General features: G+C 46.2%; 1 protein-coding gene across 19 annotated transcripts in view; it reads right to left on the bottom strand.

Annotated features, from left to right (window-relative positions):
- Positions 1 to 22,081, bottom strand: part of PCBP3 (poly(rC) binding protein 3) — a 298,726-nt gene that overhangs the window by 186,839 nt on the left and 89,806 nt on the right. For 10 of the 19 annotated variants that reach the window (NR_145492.2, NR_189734.1, NM_001382284.1 and 7 more), the window contains 2 exon segments: positions 20,183 to 20,220; positions 160 to 195 (listed from right to left, as the gene is read on the bottom strand). The exons of 2 other annotated variants lie outside the window; for them this stretch is intronic. The gene's annotated coding sequence lies outside the window, so the exon portion shown is untranslated. 19 annotated transcript variants of the gene reach the window in all.

The following is a 22,081-nucleotide window of genomic DNA, read 5'->3' as shown; positions in this document are numbered from 1 at the left end:
GAGAAAATTTTAAAAGCTGACAACACTGAATGCTGACCATTTATTTCACAAGCAACAGGAACTCTCATGCACTGTTTGTGGGAATGTACACTGACTGGTGCAGCAACTTGGGACAATGCGTTCCTTGGGAGTTTCTTACAAAATTAAACACACACTTACCATGTGATCTAGAAAAGCCCACTCCTAGGTATTTACCTATGAAAAATGAAAACATACATCCACATAAAGACCGGTACAAGAAAGTTTATAGCAGATTTATTCATAATCTCTAAAACTGTAAATCTCCAAATTTCTATCAATAGGTGAATGGATGTACAAATTGTGGCATATTTATCAAAAATTATTCAGCAACAATATGAATGCATCTCAGAAGTATCATGGGCAAGGGATAAAGCAGAGTCAAAATGTCACATGCTGCATGATTCCACATTCTGAGAAAGGCAGAGCTGCAGTTAAACAGATCAGCGATTGTCAGGGGCTTCAGAAGGGTCATGAGGGAACTTTGAGCTGGTGAAAATATTCTATTTATAATATGATTGTGTTGATAGCTAATATCTGCATAAATTTGTTGAAACTCATAAAACTGTATCCTTAAAAGGGTGAATTTTATACTATATAAATTATATCTCAATATACTTGATGTTAAAAAAGATACCAAGAACAATCCCAAGCAAGATAAATACAAGAAATCTACACCTAAATACATCATAGTAAAATTGTAAAACACCAAAGACATAGGGAAAATCTTAAAAGTAACCAAAATTTTAATAGAAATTCCTTGAACTGAGTATTATTTAAATTGAAAGATGGCTTCTCAATAGCAATGGAAGCCAAAGACAGTAGAATAAAATCTCTTCCATGCTCTAAGAAAATAATCTTCTACCCAGAATTTCAACCCAGAGGAGCAGGAGCTAGTATTAGCTTCTCTGTTACTAGATTTTCAACCTCTCTACTAAACTCTAATGTGGGATACACAGGCAATTAGCATTTAAGTCTTTATGTGGCTGTGAGAAGATACAAGGTGTCATGCTAAATTTAAAACTCACGAATATTTTCTAGCTGTTTTCTAGCTATATCAACAGGGAATATTTTTTAAATGCTGCTGAAAACCTGAGATAATTTCTGGTAGTCACAAATAGACACACCAGCAGATTTGGGTAGGTTAGCAGGCCTAATTTAAACAACCGAAGCAAAAGAAACGAGACGCTGAGATTAATCACCAAAATCAAAAAAACTGTACTGGCAAAGATACAACAAATACGTCAATACCTTAGATTTCCAGGACATAATTTAAAAGTTTTCTTGTTTTTTCAGCATTAATTTTTTTACTGGGTACTTGAACTATTCTTATCATAACTATTTTCATTATAATATTATATACAGGTTGAACAAAGACTCATCACTACTCCTAAACTTGTAGTCCGAGCTTTTTCTATGCCACATGCCAATATTTTTCCATTAAAATTTAATTTTGGAAAGCAGTCTTGGGTAAAACAATTTCAGAATGACCTAATAAGTAAAATACATTTTACCTATTAAAAATTAAAAATAAAATACAGGTTTTGAAAAAAAGAAGGTAGAAAGTTTCAGTTAAAAATAGTTTTTTACCCACATTCTCACCACGATGCATTTTAGAAGAGGCATTATCTGTGGTAAAAGTGGAAACAAATAGTAATGAATGTGGTGAGATATGAGTAAATCTAAACAGGCACCAGTGTATAAAATGATGGAGAAAGCTGCACAATATTAAAAATACAACAGTTGAGAATGAAAATGCCATTCAAGTCAGGAGAGAATAATCAGAGGTGAGCACTGTGAGACTCCTTCATTCTCTGGAATGTGGACAGAGTACTAATTAATTCTGGACCTTGATAAATTAAGCATACATATAAGACAAACACAAAAATAAGAGAAACCGAAATTACATAGTGAAGGAGAAAACTAATGAGTAAAACAGTCATCTGTCAATCAAAAGAAGGGAAGGAAGAAAAAATAAGAAAGTTGAGCTAAATAGAAAGTCCAAAATAAGATGGTAGAATGGAGTCCAAATTATAAGTAATTAAAATAAATGAAAGTAAAGTAAATGTTCTAGTCTTTAAAAGGCAAAGATTGTCAGGGAGGATAAAACAAAAATCCATTACATCCCATTTTAAAAGATTCACTAAAACACTCGGATACAGAGATACTGAAAAAGGGGAAAGAAAAATATATACTAGATAAATACATCAGACAAAATTTGCTTTAAAGCAAAAAGCATTATCAGGATAGACTACATTACATAAAGATTAAAAGGTTCAATTTATTAGCAAGATACCATAATAATTCTAAACTTACGTAGACCTAAGAGCAGAAATGAACAGAAATATAAGAAAATAGGCAAATCTATTAATCCAATCATACCAGCATATTTGAACACAACTGTCATAGTGACTGATGTATCAGTTGGAGAAACATCTTTTTTTTTTTTTTTTTTTTTTTTTTTTTGGAGACGGGGTCTTGCTCTGTCACCCAGGCTGTCATGCAGTGGTACAATCATAATTCACTACAGCCTCAACCTCCTGGGCTCAAGGATCCTCTTGAGTAGCTAGGACTACAGGTGCACACCACCATGCTCAGCTAATTTTTTTTTTTTTTTTTTTTTTTGGAGAGACAGGGTTGCTATGTTGCCTAGGTTTGTCTTGAACTCCTGGCCTCAAGCAACCCTCTCATCTTCAGCCTCCCAAAATGCTGAGACTACAGGAGGATGCCACAGATAAAAATATCTATGAGGACAGAAAAGACAAGATTATTAAGCTTCACTTAATGGCCATATACAGAAAGCGTATACTCAAAATTGTAGAATAGATTCCATTGTCAGATACACAGGACATTTATAATACTTGACCATGTGTGAGCCGCCCTTTGACTGCAAACACAGAGATCACCTGGTCCACAATGCAGTGAACTTAGAAACTAAAATACTTAAAATTATGTATATATAAATATAAATGTATATTTTTACATGATTTTTAAAGCTCTGTGTATTTGGAATTGAGAAATACTTCTAAATAACTCATAAGCCAAAAAAGGAGTCACAGTAGAAACAAGACAACATTTATAAGTTAAGGATAATAAAAGTACTATATATCTAAATCTATGCACTGCAACAAGCTGTACTTTGAGGGAAATGTACAACTTTAAACGCTGATCTATATTTTTAAAAAGCTGAATATCAATGAGCAAACATCCAATATAAATTTGAAAAAGAACAGAAACATAAACTGGAAAAAAAAGGAAGAAATAAAAACTTAGATTAATGAAATAGAAAAATAAACATCCCATAGAAAAAAATCAACAATTGAAAAATTCATTAAAATAAACTAATAAAAAATTAAACTACACAAGTACTAGAATAAAACATGAGTAATTTCCTCTTTAATCTGGGTGTAGAAAAAGGCTTTCTAATTGTGAATTAAAAATCTAGATAAAAGATAAATTTGACTATAAAAATAAAAAATCTTTGGCATAGCAAAATGACATGAGAAAATATGACAGAAATACTAAATGGAAGAAAATATTTGCAGCATATTCCACAGGAAAAGAAATAATATCTCTAAGATACCAATAAATAAATAAATGTTTAAATTGAGGGGACAAAAAAGACCAAAAACCCTATAGAAAAATGTACAAAATACATGAAAAGAGACATAAAAAATGTCCTTAAACATATGAAAAGGTGCTCTACTTCACTCACAAGAAGAGAAATGCAAATTAAAACCACGCTGAGCTACGCTGTTCAGGCATCACTTTAGCAAAAAGTCATGAGCTGAAGAACAGACCCCATGGTGTGGCTGTGGTGGTCATGGAGGGCGGTGGCCACCCCTTGAAGGTGATTTGCAACTGTCTAACTGAAGGAGGAGCACTGAGCACTGCCACTGAACCCAGCAATCACCCCGCTAAGGCCTTTCCGGGAGATACAGTCACACACAAACACAAGTGCACAAGGCTATTCACCACTGCACTGGGTGTAACTGCAAAATATCGTAAACTACGTCATCATCCCACCATCATGAAACCCAGACGAGGACGCAGCACTGGGCAGCAGAGGAAGCAAAAGGAAGAATGAGGACGATCACTCCACCCTGGTACAGAGCGACTCCAGGGATGCTGTTTAATAGAAAACACAAAGTACAAAAAGGGAGATGTAGATGGTGGCACGGCACTGTGAATGTAATAAATGCCACTGAATTATACGCTTAAAAACAGCTTAAATAGCAAATGTAATGTTATATATGTTTACAATAAAAATAGTAAAAAGAGAACATATGTAGCAAGATACATTAGTATATTTTAGGTGAGAAAGAAAAAAGAAGAGAAACAGAAAACATACATATGGAAGGCTAATTGTAAAAATGTGTTTGCCTAGAGGTATGCCAGCAAACGTTTAACAAACAGCTCCTGAGGTGGGAGGGAGGACCCGGCCTGTAGTGTTTGCCAGTTTCCTTCCATGTGCAAACCCTCCCACCGTGGGCGACTTCCAACCTACCGCATGATGTCACTAAACACAGAGCTGGGAAGAGATGTGCAGAAGTGGCTCCAGGAGCTGGTGAGAGACCACCTTAGAACATCACTGTCATGTACAAGGGGTGGGGATAACAGGAAGAGAAAGGACATTGTGGGACTTGTCTGTTTTATACACGCACATATATGCATGTATATGTGCATATATATATATACACACACACACACACACACACTTACATGTATGTATGCTTACACAGAGGTGTGTATGTGTACATGCACGTATTTCCCAGCTCTGACCCCTAACAGGGTTAGAAGCAAAGACACTCGACAGCAATAAGCCTACCTTGTACCCAGATATTGTTCCTTGGTAACATTTTCACACTACAAAAACTAGAGCCCTTCAAACATCTGGTGGACTCCAGGGCTGGGTAGGTTAGGTACAAGATGGGTGTGAAACATTATATGGAAAAGTTAGGAAACTGTTTCTTTAAATGAGGCAGAGGGTAGCAGGAAGAGAAAGGAAGGTGGGGAACGAAAGAGGGAAGGAGGTGGGAACGAAAGAGGGAAGGAGCTGGGAATTGGCCTGGTGGGCTCCCACTGATCAAATCTAGGAGAATTTGAGCACAAAATCCTCGAGGACAGTGATGAATTAGACACTAGGACAGCGGTGAATGAAGACACAGGAGTCCAGGAAGAAGGGGGGGGGGGGGGGGTCTGCTCCCAGCAGGTGGCCAAGTCTGCATGGGAGCTGCACAAGCACCACTTACAGCCATCACAGTAAAGACGGGTCAAGGCAGAAACCAACCACGGCTAAGTCCTGGGGAAACGTCACAAGATGCAGGATTTCCGCATGGTCTTCCAGGGGCTTCTTGCAGATGGTTTATTAGTCGTGAGTGGTAACCAAAGTCGGGAGAAGCCAAACAGCTCTGCACTGAGTCGGCAACCTCACATCCCAACGTGGGGGCAGAGCGTTGCTCCGCACCTGGCGAGGTGAGGCCCTGAGGAAGCACAATCCCACGCAGGCAGGCGCCAGCCAAGAGTGCCCGAGTGAATCCTATCACAGGAGTCCCTGGACACGCCCCAAAGGGGGAAACATCTACTTATTAAAAGAGACTGTTCTTCAAAACATCAATGTCATGAAAGTGACAGAAAGGCTGTGGAAAATGTTCCTGATTGACAGAGATGACAGACACACAACAAGCAGATGCAACACCTGATCCCAGACCACATCCTGTGCTGGAGGGAAAATAATATAAAAGACATTACTGGGGGGACTGGAAATACTGGGGTGCAGCATCTAGACGGGTTTTGTAAGCTGACAATGGTGCTGTGGTGATGAGAGGACACCCCCATTCCCAGGAAACAGCACCTCTCCATCCTCTGAATCACCCTCTTGACTCCTCAGGGACCAATGTCTAGCAGCATCCACGTGCTCTCTGTCTCTTAATTTTCAAAGTTTCTCTACTAACTCATTTTCAGGCTTTAAATATAACCAAGTAGCTCATACTAAAGATGCAACCCAAACACCTCCCTTCTAGACCCCAAGTTTTCAGAGTCAAACATTTTCCACAGCCATCTCCACCCCTCCCTCTCCCTGACTCTTCAAGCTGGCTCAATCTGGCTTCCTTTGTACCTTCTCAAAGTGACTCAGGACCTCCTGACCATCCCTGTGCCAAGTCCAATGCCATCTTTCAGCCCTCGTCTTCTGTGTTTTCCTCCCTTCTGAAGCTGGAACAAAGAAAAGACGCAGTGTGACTGAAGGGCGCTCACACAGACACTCTCATGAAATGCTGGTGAACGTGTAAAACATCCGTGACTCTGGATGGTAATTTGACCATGAGTACTTGAGATCTGAACTTCTTACAATCTAATAGCAATAAAGTGAAGGAGAGAAGGTTCTGAAAACGGGCAACTATGGGCTGGATTCTGCTCCAATGCTGGCTCATCTTTAGTCTCTGTTTCTTTACTGATAAAAAGGGTTAATCAAAGACCTTGGAGAATTACAGGAATTAAGTGAGGAACTTTTGCAGGGAACATAATAATGATTATGGAAACCATCTTCTCATAGGTCATATGTTTGTTCCTAGAAAGACACTGGTGGTTCTTGCCCTCTTTGTAAAAGCTGAAGCAACCTTCCCCCAAGGGTCAGGGCAGGAACAGGTCAGGAGACCCAGTCTCACAGATGGAAAAGCAGCACAGAGAGGGAAGGAACCTAGCCGAGGTCACGTGGTGATCTGGGAGAGAAGCAGGAAGCAGAACACAGTCTCTGGATTCTCAGCTAGTCCTGCTCCACCAGCCCAGCTGGGTTCCTACCGGACACTTCTCTTCCCGTGACTTGTGCTCAGACTCTGCCAGCTTAACACAAGGGAACGATGACAACAGCTCACCGCTGTGCTCCTAACACCTGCCCCCAACTGCAACCAGCCCTGCTGGATGTGGCCAGAGGCACAAGCTCAGCAAAGAAGGTACATGTGGATGCAGCCGTGTTCAGAGGAGTCCTATCTTGGGTTTGCTGCAAGGGCAGAGGCTGGGAAACAGGTGGGTAAAGTCAAACCCATTTACTCACTACCAGGGTGAACAAAGCTGCAGGGCTGTCAGCCTGTACCTCAGAAGAGCAAAATGGCCAGAGCACTTGGAGCAAAGCTCACACCCACACCAAAAGCCTCAGCCTAGCTCAGTGCTCCCGGAGTCTATCACTGACTGCCCTTCATCGCCAAAGACAGGGTGGCCTCTGTGACACCATTCACACAGGGCCTATGGCGCAAAGGCATGAACCCTACACAGAATGAAGTAAGCTGTCAAGTGTCCCTGCAGATCCAGAGGAAGACGACAGAGGCCTGGGTGGAGCAGGAGACTGGGATGGACGCAGCTCACCATGCACGCTGACGAGCAAGAGTAGATAGACTGCATCTCCAATGAATGGATGGTGCATTTGTAAAATAAAAGCACACAGAAATGCTGACTCCCACCTGTCTAAATGCGCACACAGAGGAAATTCTTCTCCACCTGACATGCCATCCCCAGTCACCACGGACCAGCAGCAACAGCTCTCCAGATCTATCACTGTCTCTGCACGCAGGGCCGCCAGACAGCCTGGCAGCACGGCACGGAGGAGGGATGAGTCATCACGAAAAATGATCATCCCTCCGTGCCAGGCTGCAATCTGATCTCAACCTCCGGGAGGGCAGCACTCTCCAAATCCCGGTGAGAGGGAAAAAAGCAAAGCAGAGAAGGTCCAGAAGGAACGCTACCTAGCCAAGGAGAAAACTCAGAGGAGGGAGGAAAGAAGGACACCAGTGCCATGAGACCTCCGCTGGGCCCATGGCAGTCTGTCCTCCCTCGAGAGGTGTGCTGCACCATTTCCAAATAAAGAACCTGAGATTCGATGAGGCTGCAGAGCTTCTGCTGGCTGGCGAGGAGCGGGGTAAGGGCAAGACCGCAGCCTCTGTGACTGAGAGCATGTGAAAACGCCCTGCCCCAGCCGGCCAAGACCTCCAGGTCTTCCCTGGCCCTCCTGGTTCTGGGGCCCGCATTTCCACAGTGAAATAGTGCTGCCCATCCCCGCAGGCCCTGGGTCTTGGCTGGGAGGGGCTGGAACCGCCCCACTGTCACTGCAGCAGCACCTATGGATGTTAGGGCTTGTGCTGGCCAGAGTCCAGGAGGCTCAGCAGGCCCAGAGCTCACCCCGCGGCCTGGTGCTCCTCTCAGAACAAGGATGCCCGGTGGGCTTTGCAATTGATATGGCTTGCCTGTGTCTGCACCCAAATCTCATTTTGAATTGTAGCTCCCATAATCCCCACGTGTCGTGGGAGGTACCCAGTGGGAGGTAATTGAATCATGGGGGTGGGTTTTTCTCATGTTCTCATGGTAGTGAATAAATCTCACCAGACTGATGGTTTTATAAAAAGGCAGTTCCCTCGCACATGCTCTCTTGCCTGCCACCATGTAAGATGCACCTTTGATCCTCCTTTGTCTTTGGCCATGATTGTGAGGCCTCCCCAGCCATGTGGAACTGAGTCCCCTAAACCTCTTTTTCTTTATAAATTACCCAGTCTCGGGTATCTCTTCATAACAGTATGAAAATGGACTGACACAGCGATGCTGACAACACCGTGTGCGCTACGTCAATGGACTGACACAGCGATGCTGACAACACCGTGTGCGCTACGTCAATGGACTGACACGGCGATGCTGACACAACACCGTGTGCGCTACGTCAGTGGACTGACACGGCGATGCTGACACAACACCGTGTGCGCTACGTCAGTGGACTGACACGGCGATGCTGACACAACACCGTGTGCGCTACGTCAGTGGACTGACACGGCGATGCTGACACAACACCGTGTGCGCTACGTCAGTGGACTGACACGGCGATGCTGACACAACACCGTGTGCGCTACGTCAGTGGACTGACACGGCGATGCTGACACCACCATGTGGCGCTACGTCAGTGGACTGACACGGCGATGCTGACACCACCGTGTGCGCTACGTCAATGGACTGACACGGCGATGCTGACACCACCGTGTGCGCTACGTCAATGGACTGACACGGCGATGCTGACACCACCGTGTGCGCTACGTCAATGGACTGACACGGCGATGCTGACACCACCGTGTGCGCTACGTCAATGGACTGACACGGCGATGCTGACACCACCGTGTGCGCTACGTCAATGGACTGACACGGCGATGCTGACACCACCGTGTGCGCTACGTCAATGGACTGACACGGCGATGCTGACAACACCGTGTGCGCTACGTCAATGGACTGACACGGCGATGCTGACAACACCGTGTGCGCTACGTCAATGGACTGACACGGCGATGCTGACAACACCGTGTGCGCTACGTCAATGGACTGACACGGCGATGCTGACAACACCGTGTGCGCTACGTCAATGGACTGACACGGTGATGCTGACAACACCGTGTGGCGCTACGTCAATGGACTGACAGCGATGCTGACACAACACCGTGTGCGCTACGTCAGTGGACTGACACAGCGATGCTGACAACACCGTGTGCGCTACGTCAGTGGACTGACACGGCGATGCTGACACAACACCGTGTGTGCTACGTCAATGGACTGACAGCGATGCTGACACAACACCGTGTGCGCTACGTCAATGGACTGACACAGCGATGCTGACACAACACCGTGTGGCGCTACGTCAATGGACTGACACAGCGATGCTGACACAACACCGTGTGGCGCTGTCTGCCTTCACACGATGCCAACACTCTTGCAAGTGCGCCTCACTCTGAAGTGTGGGTGACCCCCAGGTCCTCACTCACTCCTCTCCTGGCCACTATTCAGTGCCTCCTATGTCCTCATCCTCGCCTATGGAGGCAGAAGCTCTTCCCCTGTCCCTTCCTCCCTTTCTCCGTGAAGACAGAGCTTTGGCTGAGCCCAAGGCTGCCCAGCGGGAGAATGCATTGCCCAGCTCCTCTGCAGAGAGGGTCACCTGGCACATGTTAGACACACCTGGTCTCAGATACCATGATACACGTCAGCATAACTTGGGCCTCCAGTTCTTAAAATGAAGTTGTCCCCTGTTGCATCCACAGGCTAGAACACACGAGGTGCATCTGGGTTCCTTCCAACTCTGCAGTCATGACAACATAGCAAGAGACAGAAACCACACATCGAGAATGGCAGGCCACCCAGAGTCCAGGCCGGGGAGGGCCTCACAGAGCCCAGCCCTCCCATCCAGGAACGCTGATGTCAACGAGAGCATCTGACCTTATTAAATAAAGCTGGTGGGTCTGGGAAGCTCTGTATTTCCACAGCTTACCCTTTCCCCTGGGTTCAACTCTTCCTCTTGGCACGTGGCTCTCTGTATGCCCCACACCGTCCCCTCAGCTGTGAGCCAGGATTCCAAAAGCCTCCATGGCATGTCTCCTATGGGTCTCACACAGAAGTCTGTCTGCTCCCCACAAACTCCAGAATGTTTTTCTTCCAGAGCGATCACTCCATCTCCCAGGACCACAGGCAGCATACAACCCCATGGGGTCCCTCTGGGCACCTTCTCCACTGCTCACACTGTACCCTGCTGCTCCGTGACAGCCTGTGACATGCCTACAGTGGGTGCCACTCTTCCATCCCCAAGCCCCACAGCCATCTCCTACAAAACACCCACAGTCACAAAGGGCCCAGTCCCTCTCTGACCCACACAGGGCAAACATGATACTTAAAAAGTAGAAACTTAACAACAAAAGAATAGTCCTCCTAGACAGGACTACCAAGAAATTAATCTTTTAAATTAAATAATAAAAACATGAGGGACAACAGGTCAGTACATATAAAGCCAGTAGAACAGAGTTAAAAGTGTCTTAGAAGACTGAGAGTCAAATGCATTAGTCAGAAAATAAATGAAAATGTTCAAAGAAGCACTCAGGAAACTATTAAAATAATAGCATTAACTTGAAGAAAAAGAGAATTATAATTATAATGTATGCTAAAATGAGAAATTAATAGTAAAATTATAAATGATCAATATAAATGAAAGCTATTTTGGAGAAAAAATTAGACAAATGTGACTAAAATGCTGAAGTAAGTACTAGAAATAAAGGGAACACAGTAACAGATAAAATGACTGAAAAACTAGGCCCGGCATGGTGGCCTACACCTGTAATCCTAGCACTTTGAGAGGACGTGGCAGGAAGATCACTTGAGGCCAAGGAGTTTGAGACTAGCCTGAGCATCTAAGCAAGACCCCAGTGCCTAAAAAAATTTTAAAAATTAGCTGGATGCGTTGGCACATGCCTGTAGTCCCAGCTACGTGGGAGACTGAGGTGGAAGGATCGCTTGAGCCCAGGAGTTCAAGGCTGCGGTGAGCTGGGATCAACATCCAACAGAGTGTGGCTCTGTCTCTAAAAAAATAATAAAAAGAAAAATTAAATTAAGTTAAAAATTTTTAAAGACTGAAAAATGACGAGCACAACATATATATGTTATATACATACATATGTATATATATATATAAAACATATACACATTTTTACCTATATACCTAAAAACTTGCTTAAAACTGACTGTTTCCTAAGCAAAAAACCATTGGTGTATAAGAAAATGTGTATAAAATCAATAACCATGGTAGAAATTATATAGACACTAAAAAATCAGTCTCCAAAATAGGCTCCAGGCTTAGCAGCTTTGATAGACGAATTCTATTAAAGGTAGAATTCTATCGAAGGCTGATAACATTTGCATTTCTAAACAGAAGACAGAAAAATTTGTTATTTAAAGGATAGAAAAACATGGGACAATTCTCAAATCATGTTATGAAAGCAAGCTATCATTTATTGCCAAAATCATATAAAAATTAGAAAAAAAAGAACCTTATAGAGCACTATCACCCTAGCCATAACCCTCACGATAACCCTAACAGTAACCCTAATCCTAACCTTTACAATAACTCGAACACTAACGGTAACTCCAACCCTTATGCTAGCCTTAACTCTAGCCCTAACCCTATTATTAACCCTTATTCTAGTCCCAATAAGATACTGGGAGCATATTATAATTGGAAGAGCTATGGCCTAACGGGGTTTATTCCAAGAATCAACACTTGGAATGTCAGGAACAGAATTCACTCCATTGAGAGACAAAAGCAGGAATCATACAACCACCTAAATAGTAGCAATGAACACATTTAGTGAAATGCAACTTTTTTGATTTTAAAAAACACGTAACTTAATAAATAGCAATAAAAGAAAACTTCTGTAGCTTAATGAAGAATATATACCAGAGAGCTACAGGGAGCATACTTCATGGTGAATGTTGGGTCAAGGTAAAAATAAGTCAAATTTCACCTGAAAACCCTTTTGCAAATAAAACCATTTTAACATGTGACCACATTCAAATATATAAAAACTGATAGTTTTCCTATATAATGTTAAATATTTGATAAATGCAATGGGAAAAATCCCAATTACAATAACCAAATAACACAAATTAGTTGGAAAAAAATTTGAAAGATAAAACCTACAGCAAGAAAGCTATGAAATGTAACTGAAGGCTAATAACAGAATAAATGGAAAGACAGATTCCCTTTCTATATAGGAAACTATTTAAATATTGTTAAAATGTCAGCTGTTTATAATTTAAATTATAGATCTGATCCATTTGAAAAGAAACCTCAATATGATTAACTTTTTAAACTTGAAAATCATTCTAAAGTTCATTTAGAAAGTAGGTAGCCAAGAATAACCAAAATATTTTTTGAAATATTGGTTACCTTTATCAGATATGGAAATATATCGTGAAACTAAAATAATTAAAACAGTGTACCAGCACTAGAACAAAGAGGTCAATTAGAGAATTCAGAAACAGACACTAAAATACACAATATTTTCATATGTGGTACACATACATAAAAAGTTGCAGCATGAATCATTAGAAAAATGAAGTATTTTGAATAAATGGTGTTTCTAATATAAGAAAAAATAACTTAGATCTTCACCTAAGAACATACACCTAATTAAATCCCAAGAAAAGGATTTTCTAAATGTAAACACAATAAGAGACGACATCACAACGGAAAATACTGAGCGAGCTACCCAAAATGCTACAGATCAGATGAAAAAGTGCACGACTCAACTGGGGAAAATTCCTCCCACAGACATAAAAGCAGAGTATCTTCAATAATGCAAGAATGCTTATGAGCATGGGGGAAAACGACATTATTGTTAAAGAGCTAAGCCATGTGTGTTCAGTGTGCTTCTGCATTTCGAGATGGAGACGTATGCAGTACCTGGTGTGTCAGGATACAACAGCACAGGCACTCTGGTACAGCCTTGTTCAAGTACAAACTTGCACTTTTGAGATCAACCTGGCAATTACACATTATGCCTCTTTTAAATGTCCATGTCCTCTGACCCAGGAATTCTGTAGGTGTGAACACTGCCTACAAAAGAGAGGAAGCTGCTGTGGATTTATGCACAAGGGTGTTTACCTCGTATTATGGATATTAGTGGAAAATCAGAAAAAATAAACAAAAAGGGAATAATCCAATAAATGATACCTAGATCCACAACATGGGAAACCATGCAACCTTCTAAAAATAATGTTCTCAAACTAGGTAAGGTCGAACACTTTGCAGAATACTATTCAGTTAAAAAGCAGGGCACGAAAGTGTGTACTGAATGCCTGAGGCAGACAGTCTGGACTGGAATTTCCCCACCGCCCCCAGGGCACTGGGCAAGAGGCGCTCACCAGGCCTAACGCTGCAGAGCTCAAGCAACCTGAGGAGAAAGATCTGCCTCAGATTCACCAAGCCAGAGGCCGGGCCTCTGAAGTGGAGAGGACCAGAGGGCAAGGGCAGTGGAAGTCTGCCCTGGCAGGAGCAGGGCAAGCAAGGGAGCTCAGGGCCTGAGGTTCATCAATTTTTTATAAAATAATATTTGCCATATAACCTTTAAAATTTTTTATTTTTAATAAAACTATAAATATACACAGTTTTTAAAAGCAAATAATTCGATAAAGCTTATGAAAAGCAGTGGCCCTACCCCTCCCTTGCCCCCTACATCACAATCCTTCCCTGAGCTCTTAGCCTCTTTTGGCATTTCTTTATCTCCATATTTCTAATTACTGAGTTTGTATTGCTATTCTTGATCTTACAACTTTATGTATCAGCTGTTAGCTTCCTGCTATAAAAGATGAGCACTGACTCTCCTGAGCCCCTACCTCGCCCTCCTCCCCACTTTCCAGGACTCCCCTCGCTGGCTGTGCACCTGGTACCCACACCTGATGCTGCAGCTCCCTTCTTGCACAATGTTTCTGCTTCTCACAGTGAATAAGGGCCTCCCCACTGCTTTCTTTGGTGTTCTATGAACTTAGGTTGATTTCTTTCCAAACTCCTAGCCATGGGGCCGACCACTGCAGACCCACTCATCCCGACATCACCCTCCAGCCCTTCTTGGAGCCACGCCCCAGGGCCCCAGCGTCCAGCTTCCTCACCCACCAAGTGGCTCCTTTCCCTCCCTCCTGTGTCTGTTCCTAGGTTCCCAGTGCTCTGGGGCCAAATAAGGAGGAGCTGGAGTGAAGCCATCCCGTGCCCTGCTTTCCGTTTAGGACAGTCCCCCACCGCAGGGCAGGCTCCCAAGTCACCTTCCAGGGAGGAACCAGACTGGGTAGGAGAGGGCTGAGAGGCTGACTCCTTCTCAGACAAGCTTTCCACAGCTTTCCTATGTCAACCGTATCTCTACTGCCTCCCCATGTTCAGCTGCACAGTAACGCCATTCCCAAGACGTGGGGGCACTGTCTGCAACACAAGAAACTCACTTCTCAGTCCCCTCAACACACACACATATAACAGATGCACACATACCACACACACATGCACACACCTTCCACACACACACGCATGCGTGCACACCTATATACACACTCACCTGCACACACATACACACACGCATGTGTACACACAGACCTGTGTGGGTAAATACACATGCACACACACTTCACACACACACACACACTACACACACCACACACACACTCACATGCACACACACACGCACCTCTCAGCTTTCTAGGTTCAGATCTGCTCTGACCATTTGCCTTCCAACTTTCAAAGTTCTGTCATCTTCTTTCTCAATTTCTTGGTGACTTTTGCCCTTTAAAAACATCTTGCCTGTCATTTTAGTGGGCTTTTAAGAGGAAGCAGAGGTCACTGTGAAATCAATTTGCCAATCTGGCTGAAAATCAAGGATCAAGGGAATAATTTTTTTTAATTTTAACATGGGAGCTACTAAGTCATCCCGGATGCTAACAGAAGTGACCTGCCAGTGAGGCGGGCACGCAGAGAGATGGCACCACAGACCACACAGCGGGGCAAGTCCCTGAGGAAACAAGAGGGTGGGCTTGTCCTGAGCTAACAGCGAGGGCTCCTTGCACTTGAGGGGCAGGAAAGGCCAAGGGAGGAAACGCGACTTAGCCCCTTGGGTCGGAGGATGGGGCAGAGAAGCAACTCTCTTCTCCTTAACTCTGAGGCATAGACGCCAGCTGAGACTCACATCTGATTAGATCAGAGATCTGAGGAAGGGGAAGCAGACAGAACAGAATGGACTCAGGCAAAAGCAATTCTTCAAGGGGGTGCTGCTGGGACTAGGCAAGTGAGGGTGGATCCAAGCCCTTGGCTGTGAAATTAGACGAGACTAGTCTGCACAGCTATGTGGTCTCCATCAATGCTGTGATCTTGTTCTACCACATGGACACTGGGAGGACACAGAGGCAAAGCGAAGAGAGTGTGTGTGACAGTGACTACAATGCAGCACCAGGTGCTGTGGGCTGATGAAGATGGGGAGGCCACCCAGAGGGCCATGGGCAGGAAGGGGTGGGCTGATGAAGATGGGGGGTCCACCCAGAGCACAATGGACAGGAAGGGTGGGCTGATGAAGATGGGGGGGCCACCCAGAGGACAATGGATAGGAAGGGGTGGGCTGATGAAGATGGGAGGGGCCACCCAGAGGACAATGGACAGGAAGGGGTGGGCTGATGAAGATGGGGGGGGGCACCCAGAGGACAATGGACAGGAAGGATGGGCTGATGAAGAAGGGAGGGGCCACCCAGAAGACCATGGACGGGAAGGGGTGGGCTGAAGATCGGGGGGCCACCCAGGAGGCCATGGACAAACAGGAAGTGGTGGGCTGATGAAGATGGGGGGGCCATCCAGGGGGCCATGGACAAACAGGAAGTGGTGGGCTGATGAAGATGGGGGGGCTACCCAGAGGACCGTGGACAGGAAGGGGTGGGCTGTTGAAGATGGGAGGGGCCACCCAGAGGACAATGCACAGGAAGGGGTGGGCTGATGAAGATGGGGGGGCCATCCAGGGGGCCATGGACAGGAAGGGGTGGGCTGATGAAGATGGGGGGTGCCACCCAGAGGACAATGGGCAGGAAGGGGTGGGCTGATGAAGATGGGGGAGGGCCACCCAGAGGACAATGGACAGGAAGGGGTGGGCTGATGAAGATGGGGGGGCCACCCAGAGGACCGCGGACAGGAAGGGGTGGGCTGATGAAGATGGGGGGCTACCCAGAGGACCGTGGACAGGAAGGGGTGGGCTGATGAAGATGGTGGGGCCACCCAGAGGACCGTGGACAGGAAGGGGTGGGCTGAAGATGGGGGGGCTACCCAGAGGACCGTGGACAGGAAGGGGTGGGCTGATGAAGATGGGGGGGCCACCCAGAGGATCGTGGACAGGAAGGGGTGGGCTGATGAAGATAGGGGGGCTACCCAGAGGACCGTGGACAGGAAGGGGTGGGCTGATGAAGATGGGGGAGCCACCCAGAGGACCATGGACAAGAAGGGGTGGGCTGATGAAGATGGGAGGGGCCACGCAGAAGACAATGGACAGGAAGGGGTGGGCTGATGAAGATGGGGGGGCTACCCAGGGGGCCATGGACAGGAAGGGGTGAGGACAATCCCCTGATACCCTTCAGCTGCTCTCTGCACTAAGGCTAAGCATAGGTGAATTTTTAAATTGTTTTTCATATTTTTCAGTTCTATAAGGAAAATTGTTATCTTACGGAAAGCAAAAAACTCTAGGCCAGGCGCAGTGGCTCACGACTGGAATCCCAGCACTTTGGGAGGCCGAGGCGTGTGGATCACGAGGTCAGGAGATCGAGACCATCCTGGCGAACACGGTGAAACCCCGTCTCTACTAAGAATACAAAAAATTAGCTGGGCGTGGTGGCGGGCGTCTGTAGTCCCAGCTACTCAGGAGGCTGAGGTAGGAGAATGGCGTGAACCCGGGAGGCGGAGCTTGAAGTGAGCCAAGATGGCACCACTGCACTCCAGCCTGGGCGACAGAGCTAGACTGTCTCAAAAAAAAAAAAAAAAACTCTAAGAAGCAAATAACCAATTCAGTATTACAAGAAATAAAAGACCTCAAAGTAAATAAAAATCTTCAATGAAGTATTCATTACTACTTCTTATTTCCTGATCTTGCTGTAGCTGAAAAACAGCCCCTACATGGGGCTAGGAGTGGGCTCTGGCACTAACCAGCTATGGGAGATGGGTCCTTACCTGCAAAATGAAGTGGACCTGAGAGGTCTGCACGGACCACACACAGCCCAGGGAAGGCACCTGTGCTTCTCCATGGAGGCCTACATTCATCGCTCTCTCTCAGGAAGGGGGAAGAGTCCTCCAAGACATGGGAATGGAAAAACCAAGTGCTTCCAAAACTACTGGCTCCCCTGGGAAACATCCACTCAGATGAGCTCCGCTCTGCTTCATCATGGCACCCCAGAATCTCACAGCGAGAAGCTGCAGGACTCACTCGACACAGCCCACGAGAGGAGAGCCCTTCTGTTCCAACCAGCTCAGTGCTCATGGCACCTCCATTCCCACCAGCAGAAGAGGCCACAGGTACCTATAAAAGTTCCCTGTCTGTACTGAACGAAGGCCTCAGGGAATTTCCAGAATCTGCCTGCTGCAGCCTCCAGAACCCACATGCTGGCAGGCGATGGGTCCACCTGCACTGCTTGCTCTGCCTCTCAGCCTGGCTGCCGGGGCATGGCTTGCATGGTCGGGCTCGCCCCACCCCAGCACGCTGGTTTATTTCCAGAACTGTAGGCTGGGTCTGAAGAGCCTACAGTTAGGCTCAGAAGAATTTGGACAACACCAAAGTCGAAGAGAAAATGGGAACAGCACATAACAGGTGTTGTTTATCTGTCTGAGTCCCAGAGGCTCTTCCCTTGAGAGTTTGGTGAAAATTAGATCCAGATTTGTAAGATTACAAAGTTGGCCCCAAGGCAACAGGGATTTGGATTCCTCTAAGAAACAGGTATTACAGCAGCTTTAGCTAAAGCCACAACAATAACCTAGCACAGAGAAGAGACTGGCTGGCTCCCTGCTCCCACACCCACCCTGCTGTGGGCTCCTCTCAGCCCCGACGCCACGTGGACTGAGAGCAGCCTCGGGATGACCTGTGAGACCCCTGATGTGCCCCAGCTGCACCCTCACCTCCTAACCCGCGGCACTCTCACCTCCTGCCCCGCAGCCTCCTCACTGCCCCATGGATGCACCAGGCATGTCAGACCCGAGCTTCTGCTCCAAACCCCCTTGGCCCTGCAGCTCCTCACCTCCTGCACCAAGGGGCTCACACGTGCACCTCCAGCAAGACTCGCGCAGATGCCCCGTGTCTCAGGGCTGACCTGACGGCCTATTCACACAGCACCAGGACTCCCACACCCTGCCCTTCCCTGTTTCCTCCACAGCCACTGTCACCCCCTGACATGCCACAGGATGAACTCACTGACTAGATTTATGTTTTCGATCCCCCCACAAGGATGTCAGGATTCTGGCAGTGCGCCTGGGACATCACAGGCACACTGTAAACATGTGCTGAACGAATGAAGGAACAAACAAAGTCTTTGTTCAAGTAATTTGTTAGTAAGAACTCTCCTCTTATGATATTAGTCAGGATTCCAGTCACCTGCAAGCCTAAGCACCTAGGAGCACAGGCCCCAACCCCTCCATGCCATCTCTCCGAGAGCCTCCCCCTGCCAACTCCCCATGCCATCTCTCCGAGGGCCTCCCCCTGCCAACTCCCCATGCCGTCTCTCTAACCAGGGCGCTGCCCTGCTGCAGCTGACATCTCTGGAAGTTAGTAGGCGGGGCCCGCAGCACTGTCTCCTCAGGATGCACTGTGCTCAGGACCTCACAGCAGCCCAGGGCTGCCATCAAGCACACCAGGAAGGCAAGACACACTGGGAGCTCCGACCCACGTCCCATCAACAAGGCAGCTCTTCTTACTCTGCTATTGTGAAGTTGGAAGACTTGGCTCAAATCCCAGCCCCACCACTGGCACCAAGATAACCTGAGTGAGTTACTTCACCTCGCCAAGCCTCAGGGAATAACAATCCCTATCTCAAAGGGGCACTGGGAGGAAGAAGGGAGTGATTCTATGGAAGTTATGAAATCAGGCTGGCTGGTACTACTTCATCAGCATCAGCAGCCATCATGACTCCATTAGTTTTCCATGCAGAACTGCAAATATACACCAAGTTCCTGCTGAAAACGTTTTGAAAATGACCTTTAATAAGCTTTAGAAAAAGAAAGACATCTTAAGGATAATTTTAAAAGGAGTCATCTCAAGGTAGTTTTACAAAACTAGAATTGGGACCACAGTGCATTGTGTGAGACAGGTGAGTGCCTCTGTGTGCTGGCCGGTGCCAGGTCCTTTCCACAGATGTCACCCATGCACTGTGTGGCTTCAGACATTGTGGTGCCATCATGGCCACCGCACACACAGGCACTACCGGGCAGTGGGCACTGTTGGCACAAGAACAAAGGCGTGCGGTAGGCTTGTGCGGTAGGCTCGTGCAGTAGGCTCCAAGTGCACTAACAACTGGCCCTCCAGCTCCTGCTGGTCTACATGGTCAGGTTAACTGTGGAGAAAGGTTACCAGAGAGGGAGGAAACTGCCTCTTTTAAAATTTTGGTTCCACAGAAGCAAGAAGGGAAAACGCGTGTCACTCACACTACATGCTCTTGGCAGTAGTGTGACCTGAGGCAGGTTCCCCATGAGACATAAAACCAGGATCCAGAGGGTCAGCAGAGACACACAGCTTCCCTTGAGAGCAAGACTTTCAACTCTGCTGACACCGAAAGAGTCGTTTAGTCTAAAAATATCGCCTGTGACAGCATCATAAGAAGCACTACTTACACGGAACCACGTGGGGAGCTTCTCTCTTGTAGACAGTCCTGTAAACAGTTGAAGGAAAAAACAATTAAAATTGGAAATCATAGGCTTTCCAAAGAGAGACAGAAATCACAATCTATCACCTTAGATACCAAATTTTATCAAACCAAAGTCATCTATTAAAAAGACATGTTTATAAATCAGTTATTGGGAAGGTCAAAGACAGTTTCCCAGAGAAAGAATTCCATAAAAAGTGATTCAATTCTAAACTGAGTCTGGAACATACACGACACTGATAAAGACTCAGAACCCCAGGGTCCCTGAACCTTGACCCACAGTCCTCGGCCTGACTGACGTCTGGGGCACAGCTGATTCTCAAATCCCTCTGAATCTATAGGGGAAGGTAAGAACACAGGGAGAGTATACGGGACGGGACAGCCCAGAACACCCACAGTCTCGGCTCCACCCTGAAGGGCCTTCACCTGGACCACAGGCCAAGGGTTCTCCCTGTGCAGACTGAATTAGCAGGTGAACACCGCGCAGAGACTCCTACAGACAGACAGCCGGCCTCTGTCCAGTGATGTCCAAAGACTACAGAAACATAAGAAAGCCTGGACCATGGTCAGCTGTGACAGAGAAAGAGTGAGACTGGGATGACTCTCCCACCTCACTTAAAAGTCAGACAAAAGATATGAGACGAGGGTGTTCAGACATGGAGCAGCAGGCAGCACAGGACAACGATCCCCAGAGAAGGGAAGCAAATGGGTTGCATCCTACAATTGCTGCAGCCTACAGCCTGGGGAGAGTGCCTGGGCCACAGCACAGGAAGGGGGAACCCAGGCAAGGCCAGGGGAGTTGGAAACGGAGTTGAGAATTCAGGGAGGCAAAGGCAGAGAGGAAAGGGGAGAGATGCAACTGACATCTCTGGAAGTCGGTGGGCTGGGCCTGCAGCACCGTCTCATCAGGATGCACTGCACTCAGGACCCCACAGCACAGGAGGCAAAAGCTAGAATTAGAGGGCAGAGTACCAGAAAGGAATGCCCTGCACAGAGAAACATCCCAGAGGTCTGTGGTGGATTCTCTAGTCTCTGCCTGGACATGGATGGGCACATGTGAGTGAGTGGACTACAGGAGGTCGGGGGAAGAACCAATGAAAAGAAAAAGTACAGACAATAGCTATGGCTCACACAGATCTGGGAAGAGTTCCTACTCCCAACAACTAGGCTGCAGGAGCCTTGCAGTACAGGGGACACCACACTGAGCACTCAAATGACTGCACTGGCAGCAGACTAAGCTGGGGTACTACACTAGGCAATGCTTAACAAAGTCAGCAACAAGCTGCCAAAAAATCTGAACTTTCCAAGTAACTTAAATGCATTCCAAAACATAGTTCAAAATATTTTAAAAGAATGCAGAGTCCAACAATACAAAGTTTACGATGTCTTTCATCCGTCCAAAACTGACGAGGCATGCAAAGAAGCACAAAAATATATCTCATAATGAGATTGGTTGATCAGTAAGATACAAACTCAGAAATTATACACACAGAGATCATTAGTACACAAAGACATTAAAACAGCTATTATACACTTTAGGAGGCAGAGGCAGGCAGATCACTCGAGGTCAGGAGTTCAAGACCAGCCTGAGCAACATGATGAAATCCCATCTCTATTAAAAATACAAAAATTAACCAGGCGTGGTGGTGGGCACCTGTAATCCCAACTACTTGGGAGGCTGAAGCAGGAGAATTGCTTAAACCCAGGAAGTAGAGGCTTCAGTGAGCCAAGATCGCACCACTGCACTGCAGCCTGGGTGACAGAGCTAGACTCCATTTGAATAAATAAATACATAAATAAATAAATAGGCCAGGCACGGTGGCTCATGCCTGTAATCCCAGCACTTTGGGAGGCCGAGGCGGGCAGA

This window comes from Homo sapiens, chromosome 21 (genome assembly GCF_000001405.40).
Source record: "Homo sapiens chromosome 21, GRCh38.p14 Primary Assembly".
In the NCBI taxonomy this organism is placed as follows: Eukaryota; Metazoa; Chordata; class Mammalia; order Primates; family Hominidae; genus Homo; species Homo sapiens.
Note: the sequence above shows the minus strand (reverse complement) of the source record. Positions and strands in the feature narration are given on the sequence as shown.